This window comes from Homo sapiens, chromosome 5 (genome assembly GCF_000001405.40).
Source record: "Homo sapiens chromosome 5, GRCh38.p14 Primary Assembly".
Lineage (NCBI taxonomy): Eukaryota > Metazoa > Chordata > Mammalia > Primates > Hominidae > Homo > Homo sapiens.
This window is the reverse complement of record NC_000005.10, coordinates 57,023,900-57,042,126: the sequence shown is the minus strand read 5'-3', so window position 1 is coordinate 57,042,126 and position 18,227 is coordinate 57,023,900. Positions and strand designations below refer to the sequence as shown.

At 39.8% G+C, this 18,227-nt stretch overlaps 1 long non-coding RNA gene across 1 annotated transcript, besides 4 other annotated features; it reads right to left on the bottom strand.

The window, feature by feature from the left end:
* Positions 1-4,051: 4,051 nt before the first annotated feature.
* LOC124900981 (uncharacterized) lies at positions 4,052-11,798 on the bottom strand. The gene is made up of 2 exons (XR_007058778.1): positions 11,702-11,798; positions 4,052-7,467 (listed from the first exon to the last, which is right to left on the bottom strand). It is a non-coding gene; the product is annotated as an uncharacterized LOC124900981 (long non-coding RNA).
* Positions 4,411-4,705: an enhancer, noted in NCBI's record as "tiled region #9364; HepG2 Activating non-DNase unmatched - State 13:Ctcf, and K562 Activating non-DNase unmatched - State 12:CtcfO". NCBI's record gives its function as "activates a minimal TATA promoter and a strong SV40 promoter by Sharpr-MPRA in HepG2 and K562 cells {active_cell/tissue: HepG2 | K562}" and the evidence as "EXISTENCE:reporter gene assay evidence [ECO:0000049][PMID:27701403]".
* Positions 11,560-11,619: a silencer, noted in NCBI's record as "silent region_16029". NCBI's record gives its function as "represses an Ori minimal core promoter by ATAC-STARR-seq in GM12878 lymphoblastoid cells {active_cell/tissue: GM12878}" and the evidence as "EXISTENCE:reporter gene assay evidence [ECO:0000049][PMID:35858748]".
* Positions 11,740-11,889: an enhancer, noted in NCBI's record as "active region_22576". NCBI's record gives its function as "activates an Ori minimal core promoter by ATAC-STARR-seq in GM12878 lymphoblastoid cells {active_cell/tissue: GM12878}" and the evidence as "EXISTENCE:reporter gene assay evidence [ECO:0000049][PMID:35858748]".
* Positions 13,631-13,925: a silencer, noted in NCBI's record as "tiled region #15622; HepG2 Repressive non-DNase unmatched - State 24:Quies". NCBI's record gives its function as "represses a minimal TATA promoter and a strong SV40 promoter by Sharpr-MPRA in HepG2 cells {active_cell/tissue: HepG2}" and the evidence as "EXISTENCE:reporter gene assay evidence [ECO:0000049][PMID:27701403]".

Here is an 18,227-nt window from a genome sequence, read left to right as displayed (position 1 = left end):
CTGGTTAAGCAAAGTTAAATCTTTTTTTTAACCTACAGACTATCCCAGAATTATTAATATGCCAATGAGCTGTGGCATAATAAAAAATATCTGAGTTTTGTCCCTTGCTCCTGACACAGGGATTTAAAAAATCTTTGGAATTATCCAAGTGATAGAGGGAGAGGGGCCCTGATGGCCTCAGGATGGGGGCTGGTCATCAGAGAAACCAAGCCTGTGATTAGGGAACTGGAAATTTCAGCCACCCAGCCTCCAAGGAGGGGAGGAAGGCTGGACAGTGAGTTCAATTACATGGCCAGTGATTTAATCCATCATGCCTGTGTAATGAAACCTCAATAAAGAACCCTGGACTCTGATGCTCAGAGGAGCTTCCTGGTTGGCAACACTGATGTCCTGGAGGGAGGACATGCCCAGATTCCACGAGGAGAGGGCATCAAAGCTGTGTCCTCCCCACCATCCCCAGACCTTGCCCTGTGTGTCTCTTTCATTTGGCTTTCCTGAGTTGTATGCTTTACAGTAAAACTGTAATCATCAGTATAATTTTTTTTGTTTTGTTTTCTTTCTTTTCTTTTTTTTTTTTTTTGAGACAAGAGTCTCGCTCTGTCACCCAGTCTGGAGTGCAGTGGCGTGATCTCGGCTCACTGCAAGCTCCACCTCCCGGGTTCACGCCATTCTCCTGCCTCAGCCTCCCGAGTAGCTGGGACTACAGGCGCCCGCTAATCACGCCCGGCTAATTTTTTTTAGTAGAGACGGGGTTTCACCGTGTTAGCCAGGATGGTCTCGATTTCGTGATCTGCCCGTCTCGGCCTCCCAAAGTGCTGGGATTACAGGCGTGAGCCACCGCGCCCGGCCTCATCAGTATAATGTTTTAAGGAATTCTATGAGTTATCCTCGTAAGTTATTGAACCTGAGGGGGTCATGAGAACCCCCAAGGTTATAGCCAGCTAGTCAGAAGTGGGGGTGGCCCCAAGACTTCAGCTGATGTCTGAAGTGGGGGCAGTCTTGTGAAGGACTTTGTGCCAACTCCTGGTGGTTAGTATCAGAACTGAATTGAATTGTAGGACACCCACTTGGTGTCAGAGCACTGACGTTGGAACAGTCGAGCTGTAGCAGTTGCTTTGGTATGCACCATCCAGCCCAGATTTCCCGTTCAGGACGGAGGCACTCATTTCCCCAGCTGAAGGAGGGAGGTGTTGATTGACGACTGCTTACAGCTCCATCCCTTTCTGGGGAATGTCCTGGCAGAAGAGAGCTGAATTGCCATGGTTACTTCCCCTCATCCCTGGTAGAGCCTACCTCCAATGACTAGAGAAGCACAACCCCTCTTGCCTCAATACAGAACAACTCTGAAGGGCTATTCCAGCTCTAGAGCTTCCTGTAGGATCAGCTGACAGTGCTGTGGCAAGTGTGGGACTTATATCCAGAATTATTAAAAACTCTTACAACTAAAAAATTAGAAGACAACCCAATTAAAAAATGGGCAAAGGATTCTAAAGAAGAAATACAAATGGCCAGTAAGCACACAAGAAGAGGCTCAACATCATTACCCTTTAGGGAAGGATCCAGTGAAAATTGAGGCAAATGCACAAGAGAGGCCAGAATTAATGGTGCAAAGTTTTGTGAGAAAGCCGAAAGTTAAACTAAGGAGAAATGGGAGACTTACTTTTGGAAAATGGGCAGGATATTTCTCTAAGACAGCAGGAACGGACCACCCAGTACACAAAGACGTTTGGAGGTCGTGAAAGAAAATCTGATGGAGTCCTCGTCCCATGGTCTCTACCTTCACAGTAAATAATTCTGTGAAACAAAGTTATCCTAAGAAAGTGATGAAAGTTGAATATTTCATTTAGCTCTATATAATACAGATTTTTTATGAGTTCAAAGTTTGGGTGGGGTCGGGTGTGTTGGCTCACGCCTGTAATTCCAGCACTTTGGGAGGCCGAGGAGGGTGGATCACTTGAGGTCAGGAGTTCGAGACCAGCCTGGCCAACATAATGAAACCCCCATCTCTACTAAAAATACAAAATTAGCCAGGTGTGGTGGTGGGTGCCTGTAATCCCAGTTACTTGGGAGGCTGAGGCAGGAGAGTCACTTGAACCTCAGAGGCAAAGGTTGCAGTGAGCCGAGATCATGAAGCCTGGACAATAAGAGCAAAACTCCATCTCAGAAAAAAAAAAAAAAGTTTTGGTGGGGTATAAGGAGTCTTTAAAAAAAAAAAAACTTTTATTTCCAATGAAAACGTTATAGAACCCTTTTATAGAAAATTTTGTACGGCAATTGAAGAAGAAAATGCTTGTAATCCTGTGACCCTAAATATAACTACCAGTAATATTCTGATGAATTTCCTTCTAGCCTTTTTAATGCACCCTTTAAAATTTCACTGTACTTAAAATGTCCAGTTAATTAGTATCTTGAGTTTTTTGTGTTTCTTGTTTTTCCCTTATGAGTCTCCCTGCCCGTTTCCTCCACCCTGCCACCCCATGATGGTGTATAGCCTTAATATAGTGGTAATTTTTAGGGACTGCATAAAGTTGATAAATAAATTTATTATAATTAAACAATAAGTTCCCAAGAATTGAACATTGGTTTCACTTTTCCAACATCATTAACTCTAGAAAAAAAATTTTTATACTTAGTACAGATTATTTCCTTAGAATAAATTGACAGGTAGAATTACTTGGCCAGGAATTATAAATACTCATATGCCTTGTGATACAAATTATTGGTTTCAGTACACATTGAGAAACTGTTTTGCCCATCTCACCAATAATTGAAACAAAAACGAGGTATCATTTTTGGCCTACCATCAATTTGGTTGACCAAATCTGCCAAAAAACTTAATAAATGAAAGTATTCACATAAGTGATTATGAGTTTTTATAAAGCAATTTGACAGAATATACCAAGGGCCATAAATGTTTTTATACTCTGTTCACCACATGTTTAAGGGACATTGCCAAATTAGAGCATGCTGAGCAAAAGTATTCAAGATTTTCCAAAATGGGAAATCCTCAAAGAGATTGCGATCTACTTAAATTTCAAAACCTGAAAACAATGAAAATAACCAGCCTTCAGTTGAGTATGATCATCATAAAATTAGCAAACAAGACATTACATTACAAATTCTAAGTTTAACAAAGATTTAATTACTCATCAAAAACAATGAAAATGAGCAAGAAAATTATTCTCATCAAACACACAACCACACAACTTGAACAAATAGATAAAATTTCTGCAACTGCAAATTTTGTACCAAATGGAGGTTACAATTATTGATTAAAAAGAAAATGTGAGTAAGCTTCAGGTGTACGCTTGCCTCAGGCCCTGTAAATGTTAGGGATGGGTCTGTGGAGGCAGGAGGTAGTGTTGAGGCAGAAGAGGTTAACCAGCAGGCCAACATTTTGGTGTGGGTAAGCCGTTTGTTTTTTTTCTGAGCTCTACTTTTGTATTATTTCTAAATAAAATATAACAGCTTTCAAGTACATAAACTTTGAATATATTTACAAAAATATAAAGTGAATTTTCAAAAATAAAAAATTATTTTATATATGTGAGATGGTTAATTTTATGTATCATCTTGGCTAGGCTATACTAGCCAGTTATTCAAGTGAACACTAATCTAGGTGTTATTGTGAAGGTATTGTGTAGATGTGGTTAATGTCTACAATCAGTTGACTTTTAAGTAAAAGAGACGACCCTTGATAATGTTAGTAGGCCTCATCCAACCTGCTGAAAGACCTTTAAAGAGCAAAAACTGAGGTTTCCATCAAGAAGAAATTCTGCCTCAAGACTGCAGCATCAATCCTGCCCAAGAGCTTCCAGCCTTGCTGGCCTGACCTACAGATTTCAGACTTGCCAGCCCCCACAATCGCCTGAGCCCATTTCTTGAAATAAATCTCTTTCTGTCTCTCTCTCTCTCTGTGGCGAACTCTAAAATAATATGTTTTTAAAATAAGGTATTTTTTCTTCTAAAATATTCAAGACCATTTATTAAAACTAGAAGACCAAATCAATTCAAATCATAATGCATTAATATAAAAAATGCAAACTTAAAGTATCTTAATAAAATGGAAGTTTATTCAATTCGTTAACAGTTTAATTAGCTCTTATATGAAATAAGTTTGGAAAATAAAGCCATTCACAATCCCAGTGCACTCTGTCCACGTAGTTGCACTGTAAAGAATTGTCATGTTGCTTGCTTCCCACATTTAGATCCACAGTGTTGATCGGGGCAGTTAGGAAAACAGAAGCCACACTAGTTGTTTTCACAGCAAAAATTAAGGGATTGGTTGAACAGGTATCAGAGGACTAAAAAAATGAAAAGGTGACATGAAGGTACATGCACATAGTATCTGCAGAAGCCATCATCTGCAGAAAGAAGAAACTAGAAGCTCAGAACCCTGCAGAACTGGGGCACGGATTTTGAACAGGAGGCGTTGCCTGGGTAGTGCTGATGTCTCCAAAGGGGTGTCATGAGGCTGGTTCTGGGACTGCGCAAAATAGCTGGACACTGGACAAGCAGTGGCAGTTCCAGCCATGTTGAAGGGCTATTGTGGGGCTGTTGCCAACAGGAACATCCAGTAAACAGGGGGAGGAGCCAGCCCCTCCCTTCTCTGGCCTTGCAGTCTCCCTCTAGCATGCCCTATTGGCAGAAAGTAAAAATGTAGTTTGCAGAGCTTCAGTAACGCCTCACAAAAAAAAATATAGGTGGATTCAGATCTGAGGGATAATACACATTTAAGAGTAAAACGATTTATTCGGTGTTACAAAATGTGCCTCTGCCACCATATGCAATTGTGAATACAGCATTAATTCGTCAGTTACTCCAGAACCATTAATTGGAACACACCAAAAAAATAAGAATGCTTGGTGCTATTGGGACATGCTTCACTATGGAAAATTTGTTGCTTTCATGCTCTCTGAGAAGGATTTGACAAACTAACAAATCAGTCTTTTTTGTTACCTAAGCAGATCTGCTGCTCAAATCTGTCCTGAACTCCTAAAAGGCACTGGCCTCCAATGTCAGTGGTGGAACACTCTACAAATCTTCTTGGTATTTTGACACAGCTGGCTTTTGTTTGGAGGATGGAAGAGCCATGAGAAGATGTATTCCCCTGGGACCAGAAGAGTGTTACTCATAGGAGCAGGTGTTTAGGGTTAGAGGTTGTGCCATGCCAGTGCTGATGGCAGGATTCCAAGTGAGACATGCTCTTTGATTTTTCTCTGTATGTATACTGATGAGAGGCAGGGTTTGTGATCTACAACCGAAGCATGAAGCCCCGGGCAGCGGTCCTTCTTGTCTGGATCTGAGAGTGATACTGCTCAAGTGTGACCTGGCAGTGTGGGGGAGTTGATGCTCCTGAGGGAGAAATTTTGACCAATGAAAGATGGGAGTCAATGGATAAATTCTTCCTTTGTTTCCTTTCCTTCCCCAAGATGATGCTGAGATGGTGTGTATGTGGTTTCGCAGGGGTACAATCTTATGGCTTGGGAAATCAGTTGTGTTTATTGGTGGTCAGCTTGATACATCATCTTGGTATTGGTCCTTTCTCCTTCTCTGCTTCTCTGCCCTGGAGCTTTACTCCTGCTCTTTGGAATTGCATTTCCTGGTAAGGTACCCATGCATAAGGCCTCTGCTTCAGGCTCTTTTTTTTGGGAGCCTCAGCTAAGACACTGTCAGTACCGTAGCATGAAAAACACAATTGGAGAGTACTTCTGTTCTGGTTAAGAAAGGTAAGACCAGTTCTCTAAGACATGGTTGGGATCAGAGTGAGGAGAGAGAGATACCTAGGAAGCAAAATTTAAGGGAACATTCACTCCCAGGGTCATGCAAGTATAGAGTTGGCCTTAAAAAGGAGTGCCTCCTTAAATTTTGTGCCCTAGATGTCTTTCTTGCCCTACCCTAGTCTGCCTTTCTCTGAGATCACTCTGTTAGAGGTTAATGGTGTCAATCAATCACTCCTGCGCCTGGAGTACCAATCAGTTAGAAACGGATGTAATAAACCAATATAGCAGAAGCTATATTATTAACTGGGCAGTGCCAACAACTATAAAATAGCGAGTTTCTATTGTGTTGGAGAATGTGGATTTACACTGTAATTTTCTTCAAATCCACATTAGTGACATTTTCTGAATACTTCTGTATAAGTAGACAAACAAGCTCATCATTGTTTTTCAGCAAAAAATATCTTCCTATCATTAGGCTGTAGGTGCAGAGAAATGAGTTAATCATTCTCGGTGTGTGGCATATTATTTTTGTTTCCAGGATGTCTTCTGAACATTAATGCCCAGCCTTCTTTAAATGTCCCTTTTAAAAAACTTTATTTTTTGCTTTTTTGCTTTTTTCTAATTATTAATTCCTTTTAATTGCAGAAAATTTAGAAAGTTTATTAAAATATAAAAATACTCATAACCCTACATCCAAACAGTACCATTGTTAACATTTTTATAATTCTTTCTAGACCTTTCTCTGTATATTTTAATGTTTTAGGATATATTATGTATATACTTCATGATTTTTTTTATCATGCTTTTAAACTTAAGAGTATATTGTGATAATTTTGCAATGCCATTAAAAACTCTTAGGCTGGGTGCAGTGGCTTATGCCTGTAATCCCAGCACTGTGGGAGGCCGAGGCGGGCAGACCACCTGAGGTAGGAGTTCAAGACCAGCCTGGCCAACATGGGGAAACCCCCATCTCTACTAAAACTACAAAAATTAGCTGGGTGTGGTGGCATGCACCTGTAGTCCTGGCTACTCAGGAGACTGAGACAGGAGAATCACTTGAACTTGGGAGGTGAATGTTGCAGTGAGCTAAGATTGTGCCACTGTACTCCAGCCCGGGCAAAAGGGCCAGACTCTGGCTCAAACAAACAAACAAACAATCCCCCCACCCCCCAAAAAAAACCTCTTAATAAAATTTTAAGATAGAAATAACTTGATTTTGGCAATAAAAGTAATACATGCTTATTATAAAAATTTTGCTAGCACAGAAACATTTAAATAATAAAATAAAAATCACCTGTAATTTCATATCTCAAATATGCACTGCTAACATTTTAGAATATAGTATCTTTGTGTCAGATTATATGCAAAAATGGCCACAATTATTTCCTCTCCTGAATTCACACCTCTTTGCCGTGTGACCTGGCAGTTCCTTATATCAAGAGATACAAGATATGAAGAGTCTATTTGCTCTCCTCTTGAATCGGAGCTAGCTTTGTGACTTACTTTGGCCAACAGAATGTGGCAGAAGTAGCACACCAGGTATCAGCTCAGGATTCACTCTTGCTCTCAGAACCTTGGGGGACACTCTATGAACAAAGCCAGCCTTGTTTTCTGGGGAATGAGAGGCCAGGTAGAGCAGAGACTGGTGGGACCAGTTTTCAGGCAACCGGCTGCAGGCCACAGATGCATGAATGAGCCTAAGACTAGAAGAACGGCCCAGCTGAACACAGCCCAAATTGCTGCCCTGCAAAATGATGAATGAAAGAAATGGTTGTTATTTTTTAAGCCATTGAGTTTTAGGGTGGTCTGTTATGCAGCAAAAGTGAACAATGCAGTCTTTCCAGACTTCCTTCCTTTCTTCCTTTCTTCCTTTCTTTCTTCCTTCCTTGCTTTCTTGTTTTGCTTTGCTTTCTTTTCCTTCTTTTTCAGACAGGGTCTTGCTTTGTTGCCTAGGCTGGAGTGCAGTGTGCAATCATGGTTCACTGTACCCTGAACCTTCTGGGCTTAGGCAATTCTCCCACCTTAGCCTCCTGAGTAGCTAGCACTACAGTGCGTGCCACCACACCCAGCTAATTTTTTATTTTTCGTACAGACAAAGTTTTCTTATGTTGCCCAAACTGGTCTTGAACTCCTGAGCTGAAGAGATCCTCCCACCTCAGCTTCTCAAAGTGCTGAGATTACAGGCATGAGCCATCGCACCCAGCCTGGACTTCTTTTTCTATGCTTCATACACACATAGACTTTAAAAAAAAAAAACAACACTATCTTACTCTATGTATTATTTTGTTTCCTGCATTATATCTCTTTAATAACATAGCATGTGCTAAATAAATATCTTTCTGTGCTAAATAAATTAGTTTAATAGTTGCTTCATATTATTTTCATATTAATATTATGATCTTTTAATACCATAATTTATTTAACTACTTCTCTATTGGTGGACACTCAGGTTCTTTTCTGTTTGATTTTTCTACTGTAAAAGCCCTGATTAACATTCCATATATTATATCATTGCAAATTTGTACTGCTATTTCCTCTTATTAAATTTTTAGAAATGACTTGTTGGGTAAAAGGCCACATATGTATTTAAGTACATTAATACATGTTCTTTTTTGTTGCCCAGGCTGGTCTTGAACTTCTAGGCTCAAGCAATCCTCCCAGCTGAGTCTCCCAAGTATCTAGGACTACAAGCACGTGTCACCATGCCCAGCAACATGTTCTAAACTGCCTTGAGAAAGGTGACATCACATTGCCAATTCTGTTCCTCATTATCTCTATTATGAATTTTAACTCTGCTATCCGAGTTCATCTCCCTTTTCCTTTCATTCCATTGCCTTTCCACCTCAACCTGTTCTATGGTTTTCTGATTCTGCTTCAGAGAGGTGAGTTACTTTGCAGTCTTCTAAGGATGTAAATTTTTCTCAATTTTTCTTTTCTGTTTCCTGTAGGAATAAATGAAGCCCAGATATCTAATTTTCTTATTCATTATTTATTCTCTCTCTGGAGAAGCCACCTCTATCTAGGGACTTCACTTGGGTGTGCTTTTTGCCCACAGTGCTGCTCCCTGTTCACTTGGGCACAGGTCAGGTCCATGAGTCAGATCCATGGCAAATGGCCAGCAGGTACACACCCCACTCTGGATCCAACTCAAGTATCAAGTAGATTGTCATCAGCTGTCTCTGTTGGAATGTGGTGGGATCTTCTTTCCTCTTTTTATTTTTTTTTTAAGATCTCAGCTCACTGCAACCTCTGCCTCCTGGGTTCAAGTGATTCTCCTGCCTCAGCCTCCTGAGTAGCTGAGACTACAGGTGCACGCCACCACACCTGGCTAATTTTTGTATTTTTAGTAGAGACAGGTTTGGCCAGGCTGGTCTTGAACTCTGGACCTCAAATGACCCACCCACCTCAGCCTCCCAAAGTGCTGGGATTACAGGCGTGAGCCACCGCACCTGGTCTGGGCTCTTCTTCCATACCCACTCTGAACAGATACCATTTACAAAAAATTACAGTGTCCAGCATGCACCTCTCAAGGGCTCTTTCTTTCTCTGCCCCCATCTATAAGGACTCTACTTGAGAAGCAGCCACATCACAATTTAGTTGAGTTTTTTGTATCTAACGGCTCTCTAATTACTAGTTAGGTTGTCATGTAATGACATTGCATTAATTAAAGACTTAAATGGCACACCTCTATCTATTGGAGAGGCTAGGGTTCAAAATGTCCACTGTGATTTGACATTCCATTTGTATTTCTGCTCTAGCAATTTTCAGAGTTCTAAGCAGTTGGCCAACATTATCTCCAGTCCTCAAAACAACCTCAGAAGACAAATAGGAGGCAGGTGTTCTTGTCCCTGAACTTCATGGGGAAGCAGAGGCACAGGGGGACAATGTGACTCATCTGCCCAGTCTGTGGACATTTGTCAGCTGCCTTGCTTCCCCTCCTTTGCTCCATGCTTCCTATCTTGTGGCACCATGCTGCCAGACTGCCCATCCCTGAGGCTGGTTGGACTGCAGTAGAAGGTCAATTAGGATGAGTCATTCAAACATTTGAACTGCCTGGTTGCTGCTTAGAGAGTGCCCTTAACACAGGTTGCCCTGCTGAGCATTTGAGGTGTGGTGCTGAATAAAACTGCATGCCACCGATCTTGCCCTAAAAGCCCTGCATCATGCATTTACCACTCAGACTCCATAAGTCTTAATCCACTTCTTCCTCAATAACAGCTTAGTCAGTATGAAGTGACTCTAATAATAGCAGCAGCAGATTGAGCATACACAATGCCTGCCATCCTGAAGGTGTTTTAGGAAGCTCTGCTGAGGTGCTTCTCTGTCTGTCTGGTCATATCTTTAACCATGCATCTGAAACCAGATGCTCATGGTAAGGGAGATGAAAATATTTGGCAACTGGGAAGTCACGGGGCTGTACCTAAGGGGTTCAGAGAGATTATGACTAGGTCCAGCTGAGCACATTAGACTTGTCACTTGCCATGAATGTGCATCATTAGGAGAATGGAAACAGTATTTACTAAACATGTTTTAAGAGTCTTTTGGTTTCCAGGAAATGTAAAACTATGATGGATACAGCAGGTGCAGAGGCAAGCCAACTGTGAAAAGGTTAATAGGTCAGCTAGCCTAATGGCTGATATTAGGAATCAGAAGGTAGATATCTGTTGGACTTACAGAAATGGAAGCTAGTAGAAAAGGAGAAAGAGAGAGAGTGAGAGAGAACGGAGATAATATCATTGCTCCTGTTTCAGAAGAGGAGGCATTTAATTTATTGATTAGAGAGATCCTGGGGCTGGTGGGTTCCCAGGAGGTCAGAAGAGTAAACAAGACAATTTGCTGGCGAATGAAAATGAGGGACTGGGCGCAGTGGCTCACGCCTGTAATCTCAGCACTTTGGGAGGCCAAGGCAGGCAGATCACTTGAGGTCAGGAGTTCAAGACCAGCCTGGCCAACATGATGAAACCCCGTCTCTTCTAAAAACACACAAAAAAATAGCTGGGCATGGTGATGCATGCATGTAATCCCATCTACTCAGGAGGCTGAGGCTTGAGAATCACTGGAACCTGGGAGGCAGAGGTTGCAGTGAGCCCAGATCGTGCCGCTGCACTCCACCCTCGGTGACAAGACAGAGACTCTGTCAAAAAAAAAAAAAAGAGAAGAGAAAGAAAGAAAGAAAAAGAGAGAGGGAGGGAGGGAGGGAAAGAAAGAAAGAGGAAAGAAAGGAAGGAAGGAAGGGAGAGAGAGAGAAAGAAAGAAAGAAAGAAAGAGAAAGAAAGAAAGAAAGAGAAGGAGAAAAGAAAGAAAGAAAGAAAGAAAGAAAGAAAGAAAGAAAGAAAGAAAGAAAGAAAGAAAGAAAGAAAGGAAGGAAGGAAGGAAGGAAGGAAGGAAGGAAGAAAGGGAGAGAAAGAAAGATGGAAAATTAGGCTGAGCAGATATCAGAACCAGGAAGGCTGTGAGATGCTTTAGCTCCTCTCGTCACTCTGCAGACAAGATGTGGTCCTTTGCTCAGAGCCACACTGCAAGTATGAAATACTGAGATGGAAGTAATGGGCCCTGGAGAAGAAAGATGATGACAAGGAGAGAGGAAAAGATCTGAGATGAATCTGTTGCTTCAACCTCCTGAAATAGAAACATACATAAGTAGCAAATATAAACATGTATAACCCAGAAACACCTATGACTCTTCCAGGAGAAAATCCTAATTCTGTGATTTCACTCCATGAATAAACCCACACTGTCATTTATTTTGATAAATAAAATTTTACCTGTGGACTCAAGTCTATTTAGAAAACTTTTCCTGTTTCACAAATCTCATCAGTGTGAAGACTACGTGAAAATCATTATCTGTGGAAGCTCCTCATTTTGATCTCCACACTGTAGCAATTCAGTTTCTAGTCAGCCATAGAAAGATAAATAATCTTAAGACAACAGTCCTAAAGGTAGAAAACTACTGTTAACATTCAGTGTACAAGTCATACCTCTGGAGGGGAACATACTCAGTATCAGAAGAATTATGGTGGGTACGGCAGTTTCGAGTTTCACTTCCTTCTTCTTCAGCCATAATTTTAGAGGCGTGGCATCCGGAGCCATAAACCTAGAATTACATGCTAAATCACGCTCACAGGCTAGGATATGCTTTCAGGGGTTTCTGGAGTGAATGGAAATATTTTCATGGACCTTAAATGGCTACACTGTGCATTCCTTTCTCTCCAATTTTTATTATAAAAATTTCCAAACATTCGGAAAAGTTGAAAGAATAGTTCAGTGAACATCCATATATCTCCTTCTTAGATTCAACAGTGGTTAATGTTTTACCATATTTGCTTTTTCTCTCTCTGAAAATGATCTTACTTATTTATTCCCCTTTGGAAGTAAGTTATAAATACTATGATATTTTACCCCTAAATACTTCACCAGGTTTAACACTTTTCTTTTTTTTTTTTTTTTTTTTTTTTTTTTTTTTTTTTTTTTTTTTTTGAGACGGAGTCTCGCTCTGTCGCCCAGGCTGGAGTGCGGTGGCACGATCTCAGCTCACCGCAACCTCTGCCTCCAGAGTTCAAGCAATTCTCCTGCCTCAGCCTCCCAAGTAGCTAGGACTACAAGCGTGTCCCACCACCTCTGGCTAATTTGTGTATTTTTGGTAGAGACGAGGTTTCACCATGTTGGTCAGGCTGGTCTCAACTTCTGACCTCAAGTTATCTTCTCGCCTTGGACCCCCGAAATCCTGAGCTTACAGGCGTGAGCCACGGTGCCGGCCAGACCAAGGGAATTCTTAAGGAAGAAAAGTGAAGCTTTGTTTAGAAAGAGGATGAGCAAGATGAATTGTCAGCATGACTCCTGGGAATGGTTTCCAGCACTTAGCTAATTCTCACATCGATTCTCTGATAAGTGGTGCTATTTTACAAAACATGGGTAATAAATTCCGTCTTGGTAGTTCTTGTTTCAATAATTTCTAAAGAGACAAAGCAAATCCATTTTAATTCTGCTGCTTTCATATCCATTTTCTTCATTGCTTATTTCAAAAATATATCTTTATTACAATGTCCTATTGTACATACCAGAAGTTACAACTTGTTTTTTTCCTCCCAGCATACTAAGCACTAGAGTTATTTTACGATACATATTTGGAACTATTAAGAAGGGAGTTAAGCTCTTTGATTATTTTGCCTGTGACTTGAATGATAATAAAATACAGTACTCACTTTTCAAGGCAAAAGATGTAAAACATCACATTAACAGTTGCTGATTACAAGGCATTACTGTATGGTACATTATAATAATGGTTATCTTCTCCAGAAAAATAATTATATTATTTAAATGCACTCATAATATCACTGTAATTTTTAACTGCTGTTTTGTTCCCAAGCCATCTTGTACACAAATAAAGAACTTAGTGCCAGTTAATCAGGGCTAGATTATAGAAGGGAGAAATTATTCATTAGGAAACTACAGATGTCCTATCTTTGTTTCAGAATGCACCAGAGAATTTAATTCAAAGTTCTAAAAAAAAAATGTTGACAGACAGATGGGATATGAACCTAATGAACCAGCTATAGTACAACACTCTCTAATATGCCAGGCCCCTCTCTGGCACTTTCCTTTCTGTCAATCCCCAATTCCTCACAATAGGTCAACACGTGGCACCATGACAAATAGTCAACAATAATTGTCTAAAATTGGACAAAAGCCATTGTAATTGAACAATAATGATAAATAAAACAGAGTAAGAGCCAGCTGTTTTAGGTAAAAAGTAGTTTGGGGCTCAGGAATCTTTATTCTATTTGGTTCCCTACGTTATTCTGATGCCGACCATGAAGAAACATATTTTGACCTACACTGTTTCCAGCACCTGACATACTAAGAGGATGGGTCATTGCTAAGCGCAATCCATCATATGTGAACTGATTTAATGCTGTCTCCACTGGTTGACTAGTGCTAATGGTTTCTATTCTATCCTACATCAGTCACTGGTCAGGAGGAGCCAGGGACCCATATCCTGCCACTAAGAATCATTGTGTTGGCTGACTCTGAAGAGGGTACTTACTTCTCTTATCAGCCCTGAACAAATGTATATGACAGGAAATCTGCCTAGTAGTAGCTAAACAAGGGGTGTGTGTGTGTGTGTGTGTGCACGCACATAGTACTGGACCCAAGATCAGTCTTTTAAGGATCTACTTCACACTCCCAATATAGTTCTGCTATAATAAACATATGCCCTCAAAAAAGTCAGTATGCAATGCACAATAGGAAAAAAATGGGCTTAGGGTGTCAACACTCAAAATTTTCTTCAGTGACAGATTTCTAAAAAGGCATTGGAGCCTAATAAAGACAGTAGAACAGTTTTACACAGTTAAATGGTTAAGAAATTCACAAAGAATACAACAAATAAGGCACCTTGCTTTAAACAAGATCTGAAATTTGTGGAAGTGGGCATGGGAAAGGTTGCAGCTTGTGACTTGTTGGGGAGTGTGGGAAGGAAGTTACCTGAACTCAGTTACCTGAATAATAAGAGATCACCACAAACCTATCAGGATGGCAAAAATTAGGATGGAAGTGTTGTAACACCATAAGTGGATGGGTGGGAATCATAACACACATAGTGAACTGAAGTAGCTAATAGATGTTTGAGGTGTGTGCTGTGTGTGCATTTTGCGTATTATCAAGCAGCTCAGTTCAGCTGAGAGCAGTTTTCTGCTTTCACCTAGTGTTTCTCATTCATAAGATCTCACGTCACCAAACCAAATTTGCATTATGCTCATATTGTTTCCTAAGACAGATTGAGTATCCCTTATCTGAAATGCTTGGGACCAGACATATTTTTGCTTTTGGATTTTTTTTTGGATTTTGTAATGTCTGCATATACATAATGAGCTATCTTGGGGGACAGGGCCCAAGTCTAAACACGAAATTCATTTATGTTTCATATACACCTTATACACATAGCCTAAAGGTAATTTTATTTTTCCCTTGGCAATGCTGAATAAACTGTATGTTGTGCACTTGTGTTTTGACTGTGAGCCATCCCATGAGGTCAGATGTGAAATTTTCCTCTTGTGACATCATGTTGGCATTCAAAAACTTTCAGATTTTGTAGCATTTTGGATTTCAGATTTTTGGATTAGGGATGCTCAACCTGTATATCAATCACGTGTGCAATAACTTTGTGTTTTTAAGACCAGCGTTACAGCAGAACTGGTCGTGGCTGTAAGGAGTTCAAATCCTGTGTTGGTTCCAGGTTGCCTAGACCCTGAGGGTGGCCAGGAAGACAGTGTTGCTATAGCACTGACAATGCTTCAAGGCCACCCACATAGCCATGAGGGAACTCAGCATCTGTTGGGTATCATTCTATATTTCCATAGACTGAGGTTTATTATAACTATTAGATACTGTATAGAAAGAAAACCAGCATAGGATTAAGCCTCAGAGAACCACATTTTATTTTTAGCTTTGTAAGCTGTGTGACCTAAGGCGAGTCCCTTTATCTCTATTGGATTCAGTTCCTGATCTGTAAAATAAACTGGACTTCATTTCATCTTGCTGAGATCCCTTCTAGCTCCAATATCTTGTGACGCTGAGGCCTTCCACGCTGATTAAATGCAGAGCAAACGAACCATTTTCAATCTCTTCAAAACTCTCCACGTTGCTCAGCAACATTTGTTCCCAGGTTGTCTTCCTTGGTTGTTTCCCAAAGTAAAAATTCCAAATTGTTATGATTCTCAATCTCCACCAACAGATGGAATCCGCCAAGGCAGATCAAGTCTGAGTTCATAAGGCTGTCTTTACTGAAATAAAATTGACCTACAATAAGCTGCACATATTTAAAGTGTGTAATTCGATAAATTTGGACTTATGTATATATATCCATGAAACCATCAACACAACCAAGGTAATGAAAACATCCCATTCCCCTAAAAGTTTCCTCGTGCTCCCTTGTAATGCCTTCCTCCCCTTCTACTTCTTCCCCCATACGCAGGCAGTCACTGATCTGCTTTCTGTCATTATAGACGGTTCACATTTTCTAGAATTTTATATAAATGGAATCATGTAGTATGTTCTATTGTTTTGTCTGGCTTCTTTAACTCAGCATAATTATTTTGAGATTCATTCATGTTCCTTTTTTTAAATAAAAGCGTAGTAATAAAAATGAGCTGGGTAGTAGTCTACCATGTAGATATACCTCTATTTGTTTATCCAGTCACTTGTTGATGGACATTGGGCTATTTCCGGTTTTGAGGCACTACAAAGGAAGTGACATTGCAGTGCCTCAAAATGTTGTAAACATTTTTGTACAAATTTCTGTGTGAGTATATGCTTTCATTTCTCTTGGGAGAGAGAAAGATTAGCACCCCTAATCCAAAAATCTGAAATCCAAATCCAGCCAGCGTGGAAGGTATAGATTATATGCAGTAAGTGTATATTTCACTTTTTTAGAAGCTGCCAAACTATTTTCTGAAGTGGTTGTACTATTTCATATTCTCACCAGCACTGTATGAAAGTCCCAATTCTTCCATATCCTTACCAGAACTTAGTGTGGTCAGTCTTTTTTAAATTTTTGCCATCCTAATAGGTTTGTGGTGATCTCTTGTTGTTTTCACTTGTGTTTCCCTAGTGACTAATGATTTTGAATATCTTTTTATATGCTTATTTTCCATCTGTATATCTTCTTTGGGGAAGTATCTATTCAAATGTTTTGCTCAATTTATAAAATTGGGTTGTTTTCTTATTATTGAGTTTTTAAAAATTGCAGTAAAATACACATAACTTAAAATTTACTGTCTTAGCCATCTTTATATGTGCAGCTCTGTGGCATTAAGTACTTTCACACCATGCTACCATCATCACAATTTCATACCATGCTACTGTCTCCAGAACCCCTCATTGTAAAATGGAAATTCTGTGCCTATTATACAATAACTCCTCTTTCCTCTCTCCTTCCCTTCAGGCCTTGGCAGCCACTATTCAAATTTCTATCTCTATGAATTTGACTACTCCTAAGTATCTCATATAGCCAGGGGATACGGTTAGGCTTTGTGTCCCCACCCAAATCTCATCTTGAATTTTAATCCCCAGGTATTTCGGGAGTGACTTTGTGGAAAGTGATTGGATCATGGGGGCAGTTTTCCTCATGTAGTTCTCATGATAGTGAGTGAATTCTCATGAGATCTGATGGATTTATCAATGGTAGTTTTTCCTGTTCTCTCACACACTCTGTCTTGCCTGCCACTATGTAAGACGTGCCTGCTTCCCCTGCCATGATTGTAAGTTTCCTGAGGCTTTTCCAACCATGCAGAACTGTGAGTCAATTAAACCTCCTTTGTTTATAAATTACCCAGTCTCAGGTAGCATTTTTGTCACAGTGTGAGAACGGACTAATACACCGGGCATGAAGGCTCATGCCTGTAATCCCAGCTACTCAGGAGGCTGAGGAGGGAGGATCCCTGGAGTCCAGGAGTTTGAGGCTGCAGTGAGCTATGATGACACCACTGCACTCCAGCTTGGGTGACAGAGAGAGACTCCATCTGTCTGTTATTCTTATCTGTTATTCTTAAAAATAATAATAATTTTTTAAAAACGTACTTCATATAAGTGAAATCATACAGTATTACTCTTCCTGTGACTGGATTATTTCACTTAGCGTAATGTTCTCAGGGTTTGTTTACATTGTAGCATATTTCAGAATTTCCTTCCTTTTTAAAGCTGGAATAATAATCCATAGCATGTTGTCCATACATTTATACCACATTTTGTTTATCCATTCATCCACGGACGGGCACTTTGGCTGTTGTGAATAATGCTGCTGTGAACATGGGTGTGCAAATAACTCTTTCTGTCCCTGCTTTCAATTCTGATTATTGAATTTGAGTATTCTTTATTTTTCTGAGTATTCTTTATACATTCTGGACACAAAATTTTTATCAGGAATATAAATCACAATTTTTTTCTCCTAGTCTGTGAATTTTCTTTTCATTTTTTATCAGTATCTTTCAAAAAGCAGAAGTTTTAAATTTTGATTAAGTCAAACTTATAGATTTTTAATTTTGTTGGTTTTATATCTGAGATGTTTTTGCCTCACCTTAAATCATGATGATTTTTCTCCTATTTTCTTATAGATAGTTTTTGGTTTTACAATCCGGTCTGTAATCCATTTTGAGTTAATTTTTCTTATAGTATAAGATACGAATCAAAATTCATTTTTGTGTATATAAATATCTAATGCTCCAGCATCAATGTGGAAAAGGCTGTCTTTTCCCCCACTGGATTGTTTTTGCACCTTTGTCAAAGTCAGTTGTTCATATATGTGTAGGTCTCTTTCTGGACTCTAGTCTGTTTCATTGATCTATTTGTCATTATAATATGCTGTCTTGATTACTGCAGCTTTATAAGAAGTCTTGAGATGAGGTAGTATTAGTTCTCCAATTTTATTTTTCTTTTTCAAAGACATTTTGGCTGTTCTAGGTCCTTAGCATTGCCATATGGATTTTAGAATCAGTTTGTCAATTTCTA